The following is an 18,265-nucleotide window of genomic DNA, read 5'->3' as shown; positions in this document are numbered from 1 at the left end:
CACGTGTGGGTGGGAGATGGGGAAGGACAGAAGGTGGGAGAGGAGTAGAGGATGCCCGAGGCAGCCCCCAGACCCAAGAGGAGGGTCCAGAGGCGCCCCCGCATTCCGGGCTTGGCTGACACAGAAAACCCTGGCCGCGCCGCTCCCAGAGGCCAAGGCCAGGGCGGCAGCGCTCCCTGCCGAGCGCTCCTCCACATCCATTCCGCTCGCCGCCGAGCGCCGCCTGGGTACCCGGCCCGAGGTGCGCGACACGGCCCTGGCGGCGAGGAGCTCACCTCCCCAGGGGGAGGGGTTCCTGGGAAAGGACGCTTTGCCGTGGCTCCGTGACGAGCCAGAGAGAGGTGACACTCAAGGAGGGAGATGAACGTGAATGACAAAGTGCAGAGCAGGAGTGGGGAGAGGGGGAACCACAGCACGTCACTCTCATGGGCCTCCACAAGGTGTGCAGGGTCCAAGAGGCAGTAGCAGAGAGTGAGTCGTAAGAGAAATGTAACTACTTACGCTAATAATGGCAACAGTAACTTAATTTATATACGTAGTTTCTTAAAGGTAACACTTTTAGAATGAATGTATTTTAATGTGGTCCCTTTAACAACATAACATAAGCCAAATCATGTCCCTCTCCTCAAATCTCCCTAAACCTATCAGTGGTTCCTGCTGTCTCTGCGTACGTAAGCCAAGGTTCTGCAGTGGTCTACGAGGTTCTACGTGACCTGGTCCCCTTTCCTCTTTGGCCTCATCTCCTTACGCCTCTTCAATTTACGTTGGTCTCGTCAAGCGGTCCCTTGACCCCTACACTGGCTGGACACTTCCCGTAGATTTGGCTACGGGAAGGAGACAGGCAGCCCAGATGGGTTTAGACAGGTTATTACTTACACCGACAGCAAAAGCAAAATCAGTGTGGTGTCAGCTCCATGCATCCTTAGGCCTACAAGATAACACCAAACTGGAAGGGTCAGTGTTATCCTATGGGTCTACATAATTTAACAAAAATAAATAAATAAATAAATAAATAAATAAGACAACATGAGCCCTGCCGCTGAGTAGCCAAGTCTAAATTACACCAAGCAGTTTTATAGACTTCACAGGAGCCTGCCGCTGTATGCTTGGAGGGAAGCGGGCTGGGCGGTGGAGGGAGGGATATGGAAAGTCCTGCAGTCAACTGAAACGTTGGAGAAGGAAGAGAAATGGCCTTGCAGCAGTCTCCCATGGGGTAGGGATAGGAAACTGCCTACCAGTGGCTCCTCACCAGGCTTACCCATCCCTGCTTTAGGGGAAATCACAGGGCAGTCCAACAAGACTTGGGTCAGACCGTGGTCATACCTTGCCTACATGGCCTCGAGAGATGTGCAAGATTGCCAAGGACACCTCGGCAGAGCTGTTCTCCTGCAATTTCCTTGCTATTGCTCACATATACCAAGCACTCCTCCGCCCAAAGGTTTGCACTGGCTGTTCTCTCTGCCTGAAATGCTCTTCCCCTAGACACACAGCTTCCCAGTTGGCTCTCCTCCAAGTCAGCTCAAATCTCACTTTCTTGTTGAGGCCTGCCTTGTACAATACTCTTCAGCTATCTACCGGTGTTTGATATACCACCCCAAACATAGTGGGAGTAAAATGTCAGCCATTTTATTAGATTCCTGAATTCTGTGGATCGGAGGTTTGGACAGAGCACAGGGGAAATAGGTTGTCCTTGCTCCTCCATATCTGCCTGGGACCTTAGGCTCAAATGGTTGGGGATTAGAATCATGTAAAGTAAATTATAACCTGCAGGCCTATGGCTTCTTTTTGCAAATAATCGTTATCGAAACACAGTCATTCATGTTGGTAATTGTGACAGAGATTATGTGGCCCACAAAGCCATGCAATCTGGCCCTTTAGATAAAAAGTTGGCTAACCCCGATCTCAAGGCTCATTCACTCACATAGCTGCCATCTGCACTGGGATGACTTGGGCACTAGGGCTGCAGACTAACTGGAGCACCTAAACTAGGCTTCTCCATGGTGGCCTTGGAGTAGCTGGAAGTCTTGCATGGCAGCTCAGGGCTCCAAGAGCAAGCATTCCAGTAAACAAGGAGGAAGCTTCGTGGCCTTTTATGTCCTAGCCTCGGAGGTCACATAACTCCACCCTACTCTCTTGATGGAAGCAGTCACAACCCCACCCTCATGGGGAGGAGCCATAGAGGTTCAAGCCCAACCTCTTGAAGATAGAAGTGTCAAAGAAGTTGCAGTTATGCTTTTAAAAATCTGCAAATGCCAAAATTTAGCTAAACTGTGAGATGTCAGCTCTACAATGTTAATTTTGTACTTGTGCATCCAAATGATATTGCAATTTAATGTCCTAATTATTCAAGTGATCAGACTACATGTAGGAAAATATGAGCGACAAACAAACAAACAAAAAACAACCCGGACCCCATATTACATAACTAGTTCCAAGGCTGTTGTGCAACTTCAACAAGAAGACACTTACCTGGAACCCATTCTCCAATGCCCACTGTGTCTCCTGTGTCAGCTAAGACTCTGTGCTACAAGTAGGAGCCCCTACTGTTTAATACCTAAGAAAAAGAGAGAATGTTAAAGGCCTGCTGCAGTGTTCATCTAAGGGCTAGGGAAGATTACCCCCACTGATTCAAGTGTGAAAGAGCTGTAACCAAGGTAAAGTGGCATTGTGGTCACAATCTATCTGTCAAACATGTTCAACGTATCAGTGACAGGACTTGAGGCTTCCAATTGAAGGTCCCATAGGAGCGCGCCAGGCCACACACAAATGAAATGTGTGAAGACGTAGTCCTCAATGACCCTATGTCTAAACCCATACCTTGCTTCTCTTTGTCCTCTTACCCCTGTCCCCTACCCCTTTCAGCTCTGTCTACAGCTATACCTGTAATTTATTTCCCCCTCCTGCCTCTAGTCTACCATGTAGACCCCCCAGTTCACCTCCCTCAGAAATCTTCTATCCCATCAGCTGGGTACAGTGGCTCACACCTGTAATCCCAACACTTTGGGGGGCCAAGGTGGGCAGATTACTTGAGGTCGGGAGTTCGAGACCAGCCTGGTCAACATGGTGAAACACTGTCTCTACTAAAAATACAAAAATTAGCTGGCTGTGGTGGCGCATGCCTGTAATCCCAGCTGAGGCAGGAGAATTGTTTGAACCTGGGAGGCAGAGGTTGCAGTGAGCTAAGATGGTGCCACTGCACTCCAGCCTGGGCAACAGAGAGAAAGACTCCGTCTCAAAAAAAAAAAAAAGCAATCTTCAGACCACTTTGGCACTCACTCACCCAGCAGCTAGCATCCATACCACAATACTCTAGTAATAGCACCCTGGTTTTCCTTTGGTGAACCATGCTTCCTACACTCACCTCCCTGTCCCTGGGTCTGGATGTGATATTCTCTTTGCTGTCTTAAGACCATTATGTGTCCCTACTCTCTAGTCTCTGGCTTTGACTCTGATGTCATTAGACTAGACCAGCCCTGCTTGCTGCAGCCACGTAGGGACCCCTGAGTCTCTCCTAATTCTCTGAAGATGCAGCGCCTGCATCACAGTCACTCCCTTTACACTATCCCTGCCATGACTTTTGGTAGTTTCGGTACCTTATAAATGGTACTTCAACACCACAGCTTCTAAACCCCTTGACCTCTTGTCCTTCATTCAGTATTCTGAGCAATATATTAGAAATGTAAGTGCCAAGTTCTTAAAATTTGCTGGATAACTGGAATGGTGCCCGTAAGAAAAGTCAACTCATAATGCCAAAAATCTTGAGGGACGTACAAGCATCTTGTAGTTTCTTGCATAACACAGACAGTGCATGGAAGAGACCCTGTTCAATGTGCTGAACAACATAATGGGAGTATAGGTTTAAGGCCTTTGGGGGCATATATTTTAGGTAATGTAAACCATTTGAAATATTGAATCAAACACACATACACAAGTGCAGTCATATAATTGCCTTTTTTTTTTTTTTTGAGACCGAATCTTGCTCTGTCACCAGGCTGTTGTGCAGTGGCGTGATCTTGGCTCACTGCAACCTCCGCCTCCCAGATTCAAGCAATTCTCCTGCCTCAACCTCCCGAGTAGCTGGGACTATAGGTGTGTGCCACCACACCCAGCTAATTTTTGTATTTTTAGTAGAGACGTGGTTTCACCATGTTGGCCAGGATGGCCTCCATCTCTTGACCTCATGATCCACCTGCCTCAGCATCCCAAAGTGCTGGGATTACAGGTGTGAGCCACTGCGCCCGGCCAGTTGTATAATCGTTAAGTGGAAGTTAAACGGTTTCACTGCTAAAAAATTACTGACCAGATCCAACATCTCGAGTTTGTTACAGTAAGAGGACACAATATAGCAAATAGCAGTAAAGTAAGAATAAGCATCTCAGTCAAAGGCTATTCATGGCCAGATAGGCCAGGTGCCAGCTCCTTTGTCCTAATTTCTGTAAGGAACGTGGCAGGATGCACTTTCTCTGTTGGATCAAAAACCATTGATGTGTGCATGGAACACCTCAGAAATGGGATCGAAAATGGAGTCTCAGCTGGGGATTTTTATATTTTGCTGGTCATCGGCATAGTCTTAAGGCATAACCAGCCTCAACAGCAGAGCCCTGTGGCAGGGGTTGGAGGGGTCTCGCTGAGACCAGGTGCAAATCATTTATCTCATTGTTTTCGAAAAGCAAAGTTGATGGTAGTACAAGTTTCCCTGAAGCTCCTCAGACTGATGGTTAAAAAGCAACATTATTAATCAATATGCTTCATGCTCTTGGCCAGGGGTCATTGCCACGCAGGAACTTCAAAACAGTTCAAGCTAATTTCAGGCCTGCTGGAATTAACCCTCACAGTACAATAGCTTTTATAGTTGTTGTAAAGTGAAATAGTACAAGTAAAACACTCCATTCAGCACAGTGAACACGATACTGGAATAAAGTATTTCCTTTAGTGGTTTCTTGGAGTGTCTTTCAAGATAATCCATCCAATAGGCTGAAAAACTCATTAAAAGTAAAATCTCACTCTCATCCCATTGGAAATGGGGCAGCACCATTTAAAGATGCTCCTCATTGTGTTGAACAAGGTACAGAAGGCCAATTGTTGAGCTTTTATAGTTGGTGGGTAAGTGACAACCTATTTAGCATCCTGGAAGAGGCATGAGAAGCATATCTAAGTGTTACAGTTTGTTAGAAAAATGAGCTAGGGCCAGGTGCGGTGGCTCACGCCTGTAATCCCAGCAGTTTGGGAGGCCAAGGCGGGCAGACCATGAGATCAGGAGATGGAGACCATCCTGGCTAACGTGGCGAAACCCCATCTCCACTAAAAATACCAAAAAAATTAGCCAGGCGTGGTGGCACATGCCTGTAGTCCCAGCTATTCAAGAGGCTGAGACAGGAGAATTGCTTGAACCTGGGAAGCGAAGGTTTCAGTGAACCAAGATGGCACCACTGCACTCCGGCTGGGGTGACAGAGCGAGACTCCATCTCAAAAAAAAAAAAGAAAAATGAGCTAGTGGGCTAGGCATGGTGGCTAATGCCTGTAATCCCAGAACTTTGGGAGGCCAAGGAGGGCAGATCACCTGAGGTCAGGAGTTAGAGACCAGCCTGGCTAACATGGTGAAACCCTGTATCTATTAAAAAAAATAAAAAAAATTAGCTGGGCATGGTGGTGCATGCCTGTAGTCCTAGCTACTCGGGAGGCTGAGGCAGGAGAATCACTTGAACCTGGGAGGTGAGGTTGCAGTGGGCTGAGATCACACCACTGCACTCCATCCTGGACCACAGAGCGAGACTCTATCTCAAAAAAAAAAAAAAAAATGAGATAGTGTATTTTTTCACTGTGCTGAGAAGTACAGTGGAAGTTGCCTTGTCTGGCACTTGTGTCTGTTATGGAATTGAGAGTTCTGTCATGATACTTCCTTTAACATGCTCAGCCACATACTAGGAGGCCAAGAGCCCAGTTTTTGAAATTGTTGGGGTGTAATGATGGAGAACCTAGGACATTTCATTCCATGTGCTGAACAACAGACTGGAAATACTAGTATCCAGCTTATGTAATTTGTTGGGGGGAGGTTGGGGAGGCAAAGTCAGGTTGTGTGTTTAAAAGGCTCAAATCACCACAGTCAACTGCATATGGGAAGTACAATTATTAGAGCATGTAGAGGCTGCATTTCGAGAGGTGAACAATAAAGTGGAAGGATCAGTGTCTAGCCCTTATAGCTTTTGGAAACTTGAGATAGTATAGGTACAAAACTCCTTTCACTATGCTGAACAATATCTATGATGTGCAAATGTTTAAACATTAGGGTTCACTGGGGCACTGAAATGATGCTTAGAGGGGTCTCAAGTCAGCATAAAGCCATACTGGGAATACAAAGTCTAGCACTTGAAGATTGAGGGAAAGTGAGACGGTGGATGTAGGCCGGGCACAGTGGCTCATGCCTGTAATCCCAGCACTATGGGAGGCTGAGGCAGGCAGATGCTTGAGCCCAGGAGTTCGAGACCAGCCCAGGCAACATGGTGAAACTCCGTCTCTACAAAAAATACAAAAATTAGCCAGGCATGGTGGTGCATACCTGTGGTCCCAGCTACTCAGGAGGCTGAGATGGGAGGATCGCTTGAGCCCAGGAGGTCGAGGTTGCAGTGAGCCAAGATTGTGCCACTGTACTCCAGCCTGGGTAATAAAGCGAGACTCTGTTTTTAAAAAAAAAAACAAAAAGAGAGAGAGATGGCTGCTGAGACCAGCTCGGTCGTGGAGACCACAACCCAGTGGGGCTAGAGGAATTAAAGACACACACACAGAAATATAGGGTGTGGAGTGGGAAATCAGGGGCCTCACAGCCTTTGGAGCCGAGAGCCCCAAACAGAGTTTGACCCACATATTTATTGACAGCAAGCCAGTGATAAGCATTGTTTCTATAGATTATAAATTAACTAAAAGTATTCCTTACGGGAAACAAAGGGATACCTCGAAATAAAGGGATGGGCTCTGGCTACTTATCTGCAGCATGAACATGTCCTTAAGGCACAGATAGCTCACGCTATTGTTTGTGGTTTAAGTAAGTAGTTTTCTGCCCTGGGTGGGTCAGGTGTGTTCCTTGCCCTCATTCCGGTAAACCTACAACCTTCCAGCGTGGGCGTCAAGGCCATCACGAGCATGTCACCATGCTGCAGGGATTTTGTTTGTGGCTAGTTTTGGGGCCAGTTTATGGCCAGATTTTGGGGCCTGTTCCCAAGAGATGGCAGATGTAGAAGACTCCATTCAGCATGCTGAAGAACATACCAGAAGCACAGAGGTCTAGGTTTTGTAGTTTATTGGGAAACTGCACTTATAATTTATTGGGAAACCACATAATGCCTGTAAGCAACTCCATTTAGTTTCTTGAGCAAAATACAGTAGTCTAAGTGCTTTGTCTTTGTAGTTTTAGAGGAGTTGAGATGGCGCATACAAAAGGATTCCATTCTACCTGCCAAAACCATCTTGGAAATAAGTTTCTTCTTCTTATAGTTTGTTGGAGAAATGGAGATGTTACATATAAGAGATTCCATTTGCTGTACAACACACTGAAATTAGAGGTCTGGCTCTTGTCATTTCCTGGGAATGGCTGGTGATTTGGTGATCTGTCAGGTGGCAGACAACAGGAAATCAACTGATAATAATTTTTTTTTTTTTGAGACAGAGTCTTGCTCTGCCCAGGCTGGAGTGCAGTGGCAAGATCTCAGCTCACTGCAACCTCTGCCATGTGGGTTCAAGCGATACTTCTGTCTCAGTCTCCCGAGTAGCTGGGACTACAGGCACGAGCCACTATGTCCGGCTAAATTTTTGTATTTTTAGTAGAGACGGGGTTTCACCATGTTGGCTAGGCTGGTCTCGAACTCCTAATCTCTGGTGATCTGCCACCTCGGTCTCCCAAAATGCTGGGATTACAGGCATGAGCCAACGCACTGAGCTCAATAATGACTTTTTTTTTTTTTTTTTTGAGACGGAGTCTCCTCTGTCACCCAGGCTGGAGTGCAGTGGTGCGATCTTGGCTCACTGCAAGCTCCTGGCATTCTTTATGGTATTTCTCTTGTTTGCTTGCCACTAGGAGCACAATTATGTCAAAGAAAGAAAGAAAGGAGAAAAGGAAGGCAGGAAGGAAGGGAGGAAGGGGAAAAAATTAAAAAAAAATGTGTGTGCATGATGGAGCTGCTGCTAGATTGGTGAGTTTTTGAGTTCTGAATTTCCTTTGGACCTGTGGCTGAAGTTGTAAAACCTAAGCTTGTGGTTGTTTTTGTGTGTAAAAATTAAAAATAAAAAGCCTTTTCCCTTCCTCATAAAAGCAAGGTATAGTAATTAATCTTTTATAATATCTTGTTTGTAACTCTTTCTGTCTGTTTCTCAACTTTGGAGACAGATAGGTCACAAACCTATATGTGCCATCTAGGGGTATCTAGTGTAGACACACAGAATTTTTTTTTTGTTGTTTTGAGACGAAGTCTCGCTCTTGTCCCCCAGGCTAGAGTGCAATGGCGTCATCTCAGCTCACTGCAACCTCTGCCTCCTGGGTTCAAGCAATTCTCCTGCCTCAGCCTCCTGAGTAGCTGGGATTACAGGCGCCTGCCACTGTGCCTGGCTAATTTTTTTTTTTGTATTTTTAGTAGAGATGGGGATTTCACCATGTTGGCCAGGCTGGTCTCAAACTCCTGACCTCAGGTGATCCACCCACCTTGGCCTCCCAAAGTGCTGGGATTACAGGCGTGAGCCACTGTGCCCAGCCTTTTTTTTTTTTTTTCTTTTAATCACAGTTCTTAACAAACTTCCATAAATACCCAAAAGGGGAAAAGAAATTTGAGAATATGAAAGAGGTTAATAAATAGCCAAATATGTCAACCATTGAAAGGACACCTATTTTTATTTTAGATTAAACCACTGATTTGCAACTTTTATTGAAATAAATGTCATTTGTTAAAAACAAGGTTAATTTTGTAACTTGATCTCAACTTGTTTTTTTAATAGCAGTTAAATTTTTACATAAAACATTGCAAAACTTCAACTAAAGGCTGGGCGTGGTGGCTCACGCCTGTAATCTCAGCACTTTGGGAGGCTGAGATGGGCAGATCACGAGGTCAGGAGATCAAGACCATCCTGGCTAACATGGTGAAACCCCGTCTCTACTAAAAATACAAAAAATTAGCCAGGCGTGGTGGTGGGTACCTGTAGTCCCAGCTACTTGGGAGGCTGAGGCAGGAGAATGCGTGAACCCGGGAAGCAGTGCTTGCAGTGAGCTGAGATCGCGCCACTGCACTCCAGCCTGGGAGACAGAGTGAGACTCCATCTCAAAAAAAAAAAACAAACAAAAAAAGCTTCAACTAAAGAACAAATAAAACATTCAGACACAAGTTGACACTTTAAAAATTCTATAGATTTCAACAAATAATGAATGACTGTATATTAATTTATATTAGTCCTGTGGTCAGAATACATTTTCCAGTTAAAACATTTTTAATACATCTTCTGTACGGCACGGATAGCTTCTAGTGGGAATTAGTGTATAGTCTGTTCTTGATGAAGACAACACTAGACAGATGTTGCCTGATATCTGGATAATGCTGAATGTGACAAAACCAGCGAGACGCATTAAGATATTTCTTCTTTTCTTGAACTGTCAGGTCAACTATAAAGCGATGAAGTCCATAGTACAATAGGATATCTGCAAAGGTAGTTATATCCTGTAAGGTAGACTTTATCTTCAAGATATGAAATAAGATCCTTCAACAGGGTGTGGGCTGGGCATGGTGGCTCACGCCTGTAATCCCAGCACTTTGGGAGGCTGAGGTGGGCGTATCACAAGGTCAGGAGATCGAGACCATCCTGGCTAACATGGTGAAACCCTGTCTCTAATAAAAAAAATACAAAAAAATTAGCCGGGCGTTGTTGGCGGGCGCCTGTAGTCCCAGCTATTCGGGAGGCTGAGGCAGGAGAATGGCATGAACCCAGGAGGCAGAGCTTGCAGTGAGCAGAGATAGCGCCACTGCACTCCAGCCTGGGTGACAGAGTGAGACTCCATCTCAAAAAAAAAAAAAACTAAAAAAAAAAACCAGTGTGTGGCTATCATTTTTACTGGAGTGACTCTGTATTGTAACCATTGCTGAACTATTGCTTTTTCTTCTGCAGTACTCCCTAGCAAATATCCTTTGTTAGCTTGCTTGACTAGATGAGCTGCTATAGTAGTCAATCCTGTTAGACTTGGACCATTGTTTGTTTGAAGAACCAGAATCTGTCACTCATCCTGAGCACTTTATTTATTATTCCCCTTACTCAGTCCCAGGGACTTCTCTAGTAGTGACAACTTGGCGGCTGCTGCCATCTTCTGGCGGTAGCTCCTGGAAGAGACCAACGTTTAACTTTTTGAGAACCTGTCAAACTGTTTTACCAAGCGGCTGCACCATTTTACATTCCTATCAATTATGTACAAGGGGTCAAATAACTCCAAATCTTCATAAACACTTGTTATTGTCTGTCTTTTTGATTACAGCTATCCTACTGGGTGTGAAGTGGTTTTGGCTTACATTTCCCTAATGACTAATGATGTTGGTCATCTTTTATCGTCCTTTTTGGCCACTTGTATAATATATTTTTGGCAAAATGTCGTTCAAATCCTCTGCCCATTTTTAGACTGGGTTGTCTTTTTATGTTGAGTTGTAAGACTTCTTCACATATTCTGGATAACAGACTCTTATCAGATTATTTGCAAATCTTTTCCCCCATTCTGTGAGTTGTCTTTTCACTTTCTTGACAATACCTTTGAAGCACAAAATTTAAAACTTTTCTCCAACTTATCAAATTTTTTCCTAGGTTCCTTGTGCTTTAGGTACCATATTTAAGACATCATTGCCTAATCCAAGGTTATGAAGATTTACAGCTATGTTTTCTTCTAAGTGTATAGCTTTACTCTTTTTTTTTTTTTTTGAGACGAAGTCTCGCTCTTGTACCCCAGGCTGGAGTGCAATGGCGTGATCTCGACTCATTGCAACCGCCGCTTCCCAGGTTCAAGTGATTCTCCTGTCTCAGCCTCCTGAGTAGCTGGGATTACAGGCGCCTGCCACCACGCCTGGCTATTTTATTTATTTATTTATTTTTTGTATTTTTAGTAGAGATGGGGTTTCACCATGTTGGCCAGGCTGGTCTTGAACTCCTGACCTCAGGTGATCCGCCTGCCTTGGTCTCCCAAAGTGCTGGGATTACAGGCGTGAGCCACCGCGCCCGGCAGCTTTACTCTCATATCTGGGTCTTTGATGCACTTTAATTTTTGTATATGGTGTGTAGTATGAATCAAGATTCATTTTTTCCATCTGAATATACAAATATTGCAACACTAACTGTTGAAAAGATGCTTCCCTCCTTCATTTGCTTTTGCAAGTTTGTAAAACAACAACAAAATCAACTGGCCTCACTCTGTAACTGAGGGCTGCACATATTGTCTTCCTTCCAAAGAGTACAATATGGAAAGTGGGGAAATGTAACATCATAGTAGAGAAATCTGACAAACACTATCTCAGTTAGGTGATCAAGGTTGACATCAGCAGCGATAAGTGATACTGTTGATAAGTACCTTTGATATGATGTGATGAAAATGACACTTTATGATCTTCCTTCCTGAAATCCATATCCCCAGGCTAATCATGAAGAAACATCAGACAAATTTCAGTTAAGGGATATTCTACAAACTAATGCAGTGGCTTGCACCTGGAGTCCCATCTGCTTGGGGGGTTGAAGCAGGAGGACTGCTTGAGCACAGGAGTTCAAGGCTGCAGTGAGCTGTGTTTGTGCCAATGCACTCTAGCCTAGGCAACACAGCAAGACTCTCTTAAAAAAAACTGAATAAAGTATGAATTTTAATTACTAATAATGTGTTGATATTTCATTAATTTTAACAAATGTACTATACTAATGTAAAATACTAATAATAGGGAAACTGGATGTAGAAACTGGGTATAGGGTATGTGGGAAATTTTTGGACTATCTGCAGTTTTTCTGTAAATCTAAACTTTATTATTATACTTTAAGTTTTAGGGTACATGTGCACAATGTGCAGGTTAGTTACATATGTATACATGTGCCATGCTGGTGTGCTGCACCCATTAACTCATCATTTAGCATTAGGTATATCTCCTAAAGCTATCCCTCCCCCCTCCCCCCACCCCACAACAGTCCCCAGAGTGTGATGTTCCCCTTCCTGGGTCCATGTGTTCTCATTGTTCAATTCCCACCTATGAGTGAGAATATGCGGTGTTTGGTTTTTTGTTCTTGCGATAGTTTACTGAGAATGATGATTTCCAATTTCATCCATGTCCCTACAAAGGACATGAACTCATCATTTTTTATGGCTGCATAGTATTCCATGGTGTATATGTGCCACATTTTCTTAATCCAGTCTATCATTGTTGGACATTTGGGTTGGTTCCAAGTCTTTGCTATTGTGAATAGTGCCGCAATAAACATATGTGTGCATGTGTCTTTATAGCAGCATGATTTATAGTCCTTTGGGTATATACCCAGTAATGGGATGGCTGGGTCAAATGGTATTTCTAGATCCCTGAGGAATTGCCACACCGACTTCCACAAGGGTTGAACTAGTTTACAGTCCCACCAACAGTGTAAAAGTGTTCCTATTTCTCCACATCCTCTCCAGCACCTGTTGTTTCCTGACTTTTTAATGATTACCATTCTAACTGGTGTGAGATGGTATCTCACTGTGGTTTTGATTTGCATTTCTCTGATGGCCAGTGATGGTGAGCATTTTTTCATGTGTTTTTTGGCTGCATAAATGTCTTCTTTTGAGAAGTGTCTGTTCACGTCCTTCGCCCACTTTTTGATGGGGTTGCTAAACTTTTTTTTTTTAAAAAAGTTTAAAATATTGGCCGGGCGCAGTGGCTCACGCCTGTAATCCTAGCACTTTGGGAGGCCGAGGCGGGAGGATCACGAGGTCAGGAGTTCGAGACCAGCCTGGCCATCGTGGTGAAACCCTGTCTCTACTAAAAATACAAAAGTTAGCTGGACGTGGTGGCGGGCGCCTGTAATCCCACCTTCTTGGAAGGCTGATGCAGGAGAATTGCTTGAACTCGGGAGGCGGAGGTTGCAGTGAGCCGAGATTGTGCCACGGCACTCCAGCCTGGGCGAAAGAGCGAGACTCTGTCTCAAGAAAAACACACACACACACACACACACACACACACACACACACAAACAAAAGTTTAAAATATCAATTAGGTATATTTGTATTTAACTGTTTCATGAATCTTTGTTTCTAACCTTTCTCCTATAACCCATTCTTTTTTTTTTTTTTTTTTTGAGACAAGGTCTTGCTCTGTTGCCCAGGCTGGATGGAGTGCAGTGGCGCGATCATAGCTCACTGTGGCCTCAAACTCCCTGCTCAAGTGATCCTCCAGACTCCCAAGCAGCTGGGACTACAGGTGCGCACCACGCCTCCAGGCTAATTAAAAAAATTTTTCTTTTGTGGAGACAGGGTCTCGCTATATTGCCCAGGCTGGTTTCAAACTCTTGGGCTCCAGCAATCCTGTCGCCTCGCCTCCCAAAGTGCTGGGATTACAGGCGCGAGTGGCCGCTGGGGTTCTTAACTTGGGTCTTTGAATCGCCTTAAGAAGTGTCTCTGAATCTGGGAATTGCAAGCAACGTTTCTGTGAGGACCTTCACACAGTTCATCCACTCTTCGAAGAGTATGGACCGAAAAAGGCATAGAGCATTCACTGCACGTAGAGAAAATCAGCAACCCCTGCTCCCCACCCTCAGCCTGAGGTGCCTACCTCCACGTGGGGTCAGGAGGCGGAAGCGAAACCAGAAGAAAAAACCCTGAGATCTATAAGGCAGTTCAGGTCCCTAGTGACATGAGCTAAAGAGAACTTGGACGCCAGGACTGTAGCAGACAGAGTCCGGCTTCGGGGTTCGCATCAGTCGCACGGAAGGTGGAAATAGCCCCCAAGTTGTAACCCGCCGCGGTCTTCCCTCAACAGCGCAGGCGCCAGGACTGCTAGGACGCCGCGCACCTCCCGCGATGCCCCGCCCCGGCGCGAGGCAAGACGGGAAAGTCAAGATGGACGCGTCCATTTGAACGTCTCGCACGCCTTCCTGCCATTAGCACTCGAGCCCGCTGCTGTTGCCCGTTCTTCCTCCAGAATAGGGGAGGGAGAGGGAATGAGAAGCTGCTGCGGCCCAAGAGTCACTGTGAAGGACCCCGCCGCTGCCCTCGGGCCTCCTCGGCCCCTGCGCCTCCGGGGAGCAGCCGGGGCTCGCCGCGCCTGACGCGTCCCGAGTTATACAGGTGCGGGCGCCGTACCGCAGCACTTGGTGGTCTGTCGCGCGCCGCGTGACTCTCGCACCCGTCCCGAGGCCGAGCCTCCCCTGGTGGCCGTAGGTCTGGAAACCCGGGGTACTGGGAACCCGAGGGAGGGCCTTGAGCGTGCTCCGGGGCTGAGGGGGCCTGCGGGCGCTCCTGGCCTGCGGGCTGGGGTGCTCCTTCCGGCTCCTGCTTGCCAACCTCTTTCCTGAGCTGTGCGTAGCATCCCATGTGCAGCCTCAGCTTTCAGACTGGCCTCCAGCCCCTCTGAGCTGTTTTTCTGAGCCTCGGGCTCTCAGCCTGTTTTCACCGTCCTCTAGAAAGGCTGGGGAAGCTCTTGTGGAGACTTAAGCTCCCGTTAGTGTGCATTTGGGTCTCTTTTTTTTTTTTTTGGCAGGGTAGTGTTTGTAGGAATCATTGCTGATACTGTTATTTATAGCATATAAATTTAATAGTATTTTTACGTGTAGCTGTTTATGTTGCACCTAACAAGTAAAAACATTTCTAAAAGTTTGGGGTACTGAAAAAGTATTAAATATGTGGCATTAATCGGTACAAAATGATAATTCTTTAACAATTCTGTAATTTTCTCTCAAAGTTATAAGAAAATAACATTATAAAATTGCAGAACTAAAGTTTCATAAAGTCAAAAGTTCGTTGATGTTGGTTATTCTGTTGAATAAAATATAGGAAGACCAGCTGAATTTTGTTTTCTTTTAAGGTTTTTTTTTTTGTGGGGTTTTCTTTTTTTTTTTTTTTTTGAGAAGGAGTCTTGTTCTGTCTCCTAGGCTGGAGTGCAGTGGCGCCATCTCAGCTCACTGTAACCTCTGGCTCCCGTGTTCAAGCAATTCTCTGCTTCAGCCTCCCAAGTAGCTGGGATTACAGGCGCCCGCCATCACTGTCTGGCTAATTTTTGTATTTTTAGTAGAGATGGGGTTTCACCATCTTGGCCAGGCTGATCTTGAACTCCTGACCTCGTGATCCACCCGTCTCGGCCACCCAAAGTGCTGGGATTACAGGCGTGAGCCACCACGCCCTGCCCCTTGTAAGTTTTATAAGGCACTTTTTACTTGTGTTCCAAGTTCAAGTGTCCCAGTACTCATTTATTTCTAGCAGGAGGAAGAACAAAACTTGTGTCATGTTTTGTGACATAATTATATCCAGAATAACTTTTCTTTTTTTTTTTTTTGAGACGGAGTTTTGCTCTTGTCCCCCAGGCTGGAGTACAATGGCGCGATCTCGGCTCACTGCAACCTCTGCCTCCCAGGTTGAAGCGATTCTCTTGCCTTAGCCTCCCAAGTAGCTGGGATTACAGGCGCCCACACCATGCCTGAGTAATTTTTTTTTTTTTGTATTTTTAGTAGAGACAGGGTTTGACCATGTTGGCCAGGCTTGTGTCAAACTCCTGACCTCAGGTGATCCTCGCGCCTCAGCCTCCCAAAGTGCTGGGATTGCAGGCGTGAGCCATCGTGCCTGGCCAAGAATAACATTTAATTCACAGCAAAATAACTTTGTGGCTTTGGAGGAGCTGCAAAGGAACTACATAGGCTTTGGCTGTTTGTGTAACCATATAGGATTCTTGCCCTATGAGCAGCAAGTCAATACACGGAAACAACGGGGATTGCAGCAGATAAAGTGTTTTACTTGCAGGGCCACCGAACTAGGAGACTGAGGAAACTTCAAGTCAGCCTCCCCAAAGAGTTAAGGTCTAGAGGTTTTTTTTTTGCTTTTGGTTTTTTTTTTGAGACAGAGTCTTGCTCTGTTGCCCAGGCTGGAGTACAATGGCATGATCTCGGCTCACTGCAACCTCCGCCTCCTGGGTTCACGCCATTCTCCTGCCTCAGCCTCCCGAGTAGCTGGGACTACAGGTGCCCGCCACCAAGTCCAGCTAATTTTTTGTATTTTTAGTAGAGATGGAGTTTCACCATGTTAGCCAGGATGGTCTCGATCTCCTGACCTAGTGATCCGCCTGCTTTGGCCTCCCACAGTGCTGGGATTATAGGCGTGAGCCACCGCACCCGGTCCAGAGGTTTTAAAGAGAGGGTAGTGGGTTAAGGTATTGATTGGTCAGAGAATGAAGGATGAAGTCATAGGACAGAGAGATAAACCACATTCTCATGCTAATGTGGTTCCTTGATGGGGTCTTAAGACTAGCTTGCATCATCTCAAAAGTCTTAGGCTCCTAACATTAAAAATGCTGTCTATAGGAACATGGTATATATAAACAGGTACAGGAAAGTGGATCGAAGGACAATCTAATTATGCTTATCTGTACTTTTGTCTAAAGCCTGGCTGCTACCTAACCTTGTGATGAAGGCTTTAACAGTTCATCCACATTTTTTTAGTAATAAACTGTACTGTAATAGATTAATAATTAGATTAATTAGATGTAATAATTAATTAAAACCTAGTACCCTTAAATCTGCAAGCATAACTGTTCCATGGCTAGAGTTATTCATGCCTCGGTTCTTTGGGTTTCGACCAATAATTGAAATTGATTGTAGTTATATATTTAGGTGGGATTGGGGGTGTCACAGCTACTTAAGACATTTGAAAACCTATGTCTTTTGTAGATTGGTCAGCTGAAAGCAGTTCAACCTCTGATGAATTAGAGTAATGTGTGGTTTTTTATTGTTTTATTCCAATATGACAATGATCCCTTAGATGTACTTTTCAAATGAGGTTCTGGCATCTAACCAGAAATGACCTTAAATGTTGAAAAGCCATGTAGTTATGGGACCATAGAATACAACTTGTCTAAATACTTCATATATAAAGTATGGAAAAATTAGCGTATAGTAGTGGGAAACACGGGATAGGTGGTGCGGGACATAAGTACTTGTTGCATCTCAGTGGTTTCCTATAGTGGTAACTGTCAGTCTGTGACTAAAATGTGATAATTGCAACTGTCTGAATCAGATCTAGAATGCCCTTTTATGTTATGACCAACTTATATACTTACCAGTCTGATATAATTACTTGACACCCATGTAAGGATTAATGACTTGTGTGTTTATGGTATTTTTATTCTAGTTTTGAGTCTGGAAGCTGACCAGAATGTGTTTGAATTCATACAGAAATAATGTTGATATTTGGAACCCATGTCGAACTTCTATGAAGAAAGGACAACGATGATTGCAGCAAGGGATTTGCAGGAATTTGTTCCTTTTGGTCGAGACCACTGCAAGCACCACCCTAATGCTTTGAACCTTCAACTTCGCCAGCTGCAGCCAGCTTCTGAATTATGGTCTTCTGATGGTGCTGCTGGCTTGGTGGGATCCCTTCAGGAGGTTACAATCCACGAGAAACAGAAGGTTCCATTGAGTTTCCCATTGTGTTTTTGAAATGTAGAGTGATATAATCTACTTGTAATTTAAGGCTACTAAGATGCAACTGAGAGATCGGTGTGATGCCACTTCTAGAGTAGAGTTAAGGTGTGGTAATTTCAATAAATGTTGAAAATAATGACTTTATTACATTGTCATAGCGACTTATTTAGATACCCTCTATAACTTGTGGTTTTATTTATTTTTTATTTTTCAATTTTTTTGTTTGAGATGAAGTTTTGCTCTTTTTGCCCGGGCTGGAGTGCACTGGTGCGATCTTGGCTCACCGCAACCTCTGCCTCCCGGGTTCAAGTGATTCTCCTGCTTCAGCCTCCCGAGTAGCTGGGATTACAGGCATGCACCACCACCCCTACTAATTTTGTATTTTTAGTAGTGATGGGGTTTCTCCATGTTGGTCAGGCTGATCTTGAACTCCGGACCTCAGGTGATCCACCCGCCTCGGCCTCCCAAAGTGCTGCGTTTACAGGCGTGAGCCACTGTGCCCGGCCAACTTGTGGTGTTATAATGTGAGTCAGGTTCAGTAGTATGATTGTTGTCCATTTTAAACCTTTTTCTTTTCACTTAATATGTGGGGACCAGATTTCATGTTATCTAATGATTA

General features: G+C 45.0%; 1 protein-coding gene and 1 pseudogene across 9 annotated transcripts in view, besides 3 other annotated features; one reads left to right on the top strand and one right to left on the bottom strand.

Moving 5' to 3' along the window:
• Window positions 169-498: an enhancer, noted in NCBI's record as "active region_16387". NCBI's record gives its function as "activates an Ori minimal core promoter by ATAC-STARR-seq in GM12878 lymphoblastoid cells {active_cell/tissue: GM12878}" and the evidence as "EXISTENCE:reporter gene assay evidence [ECO:0000049][PMID:35858748]".
• Window positions 8,759-10,354, bottom strand: EEF1E1P1 (eukaryotic translation elongation factor 1 epsilon 1 pseudogene 1; annotated as a pseudogene).
• Window positions 13,528-13,677: an enhancer, noted in NCBI's record as "active region_16386". NCBI's record gives its function as "activates an Ori minimal core promoter by ATAC-STARR-seq in GM12878 lymphoblastoid cells {active_cell/tissue: GM12878}" and the evidence as "EXISTENCE:reporter gene assay evidence [ECO:0000049][PMID:35858748]".
• Window positions 14,021-14,814: an enhancer, noted in NCBI's record as "H3K27ac hESC enhancer chr2:112641007-112641800 (GRCh37/hg19 assembly coordinates)". NCBI's record gives its function as "activates a minimal SCP1, AML or CMV promoter by ChIP-STARR-seq in naive and primed H9 embryonic stem cells {active_cell/tissue: H9 hESC(naive and primed)}" and the evidence as "EXISTENCE:reporter gene assay evidence [ECO:0000049][PMID:30033119]".
• Window positions 14,051-18,265, top strand: part of ANAPC1 (anaphase promoting complex subunit 1) — a 117,963-nt gene continuing 113,748 nt past the window's right edge. For 7 of the 9 annotated variants that reach the window (XM_017004711.2, XM_017004710.3, NM_022662.4 and 4 more), the window contains exons 1-2: window positions 14,051-14,302; window positions 17,395-17,631. In XM_017004711.2, coding sequence (XP_016860200.1) covers window positions 17,419-17,631 — 213 coding nt within the window. In that variant the 5' untranslated portion in view covers window positions 14,051-14,302; window positions 17,395-17,418. Of the gene's footprint in view, window positions 14,303-17,394; window positions 17,752-18,265 lie in introns of all 9 variants that reach the window. The other 2 variants (XM_017004713.2, XM_011511634.3) reach the window with 1 other exon arrangement.

The sequence above is a fragment of the Homo sapiens genome, chromosome 2, assembly GCF_000001405.40.
Source record: "Homo sapiens chromosome 2, GRCh38.p14 Primary Assembly".
Taxonomy (NCBI): domain Eukaryota; kingdom Metazoa; phylum Chordata; class Mammalia; order Primates; family Hominidae; genus Homo; species Homo sapiens.
This window is presented reverse-complemented; position numbering and strand designations above follow the sequence as displayed.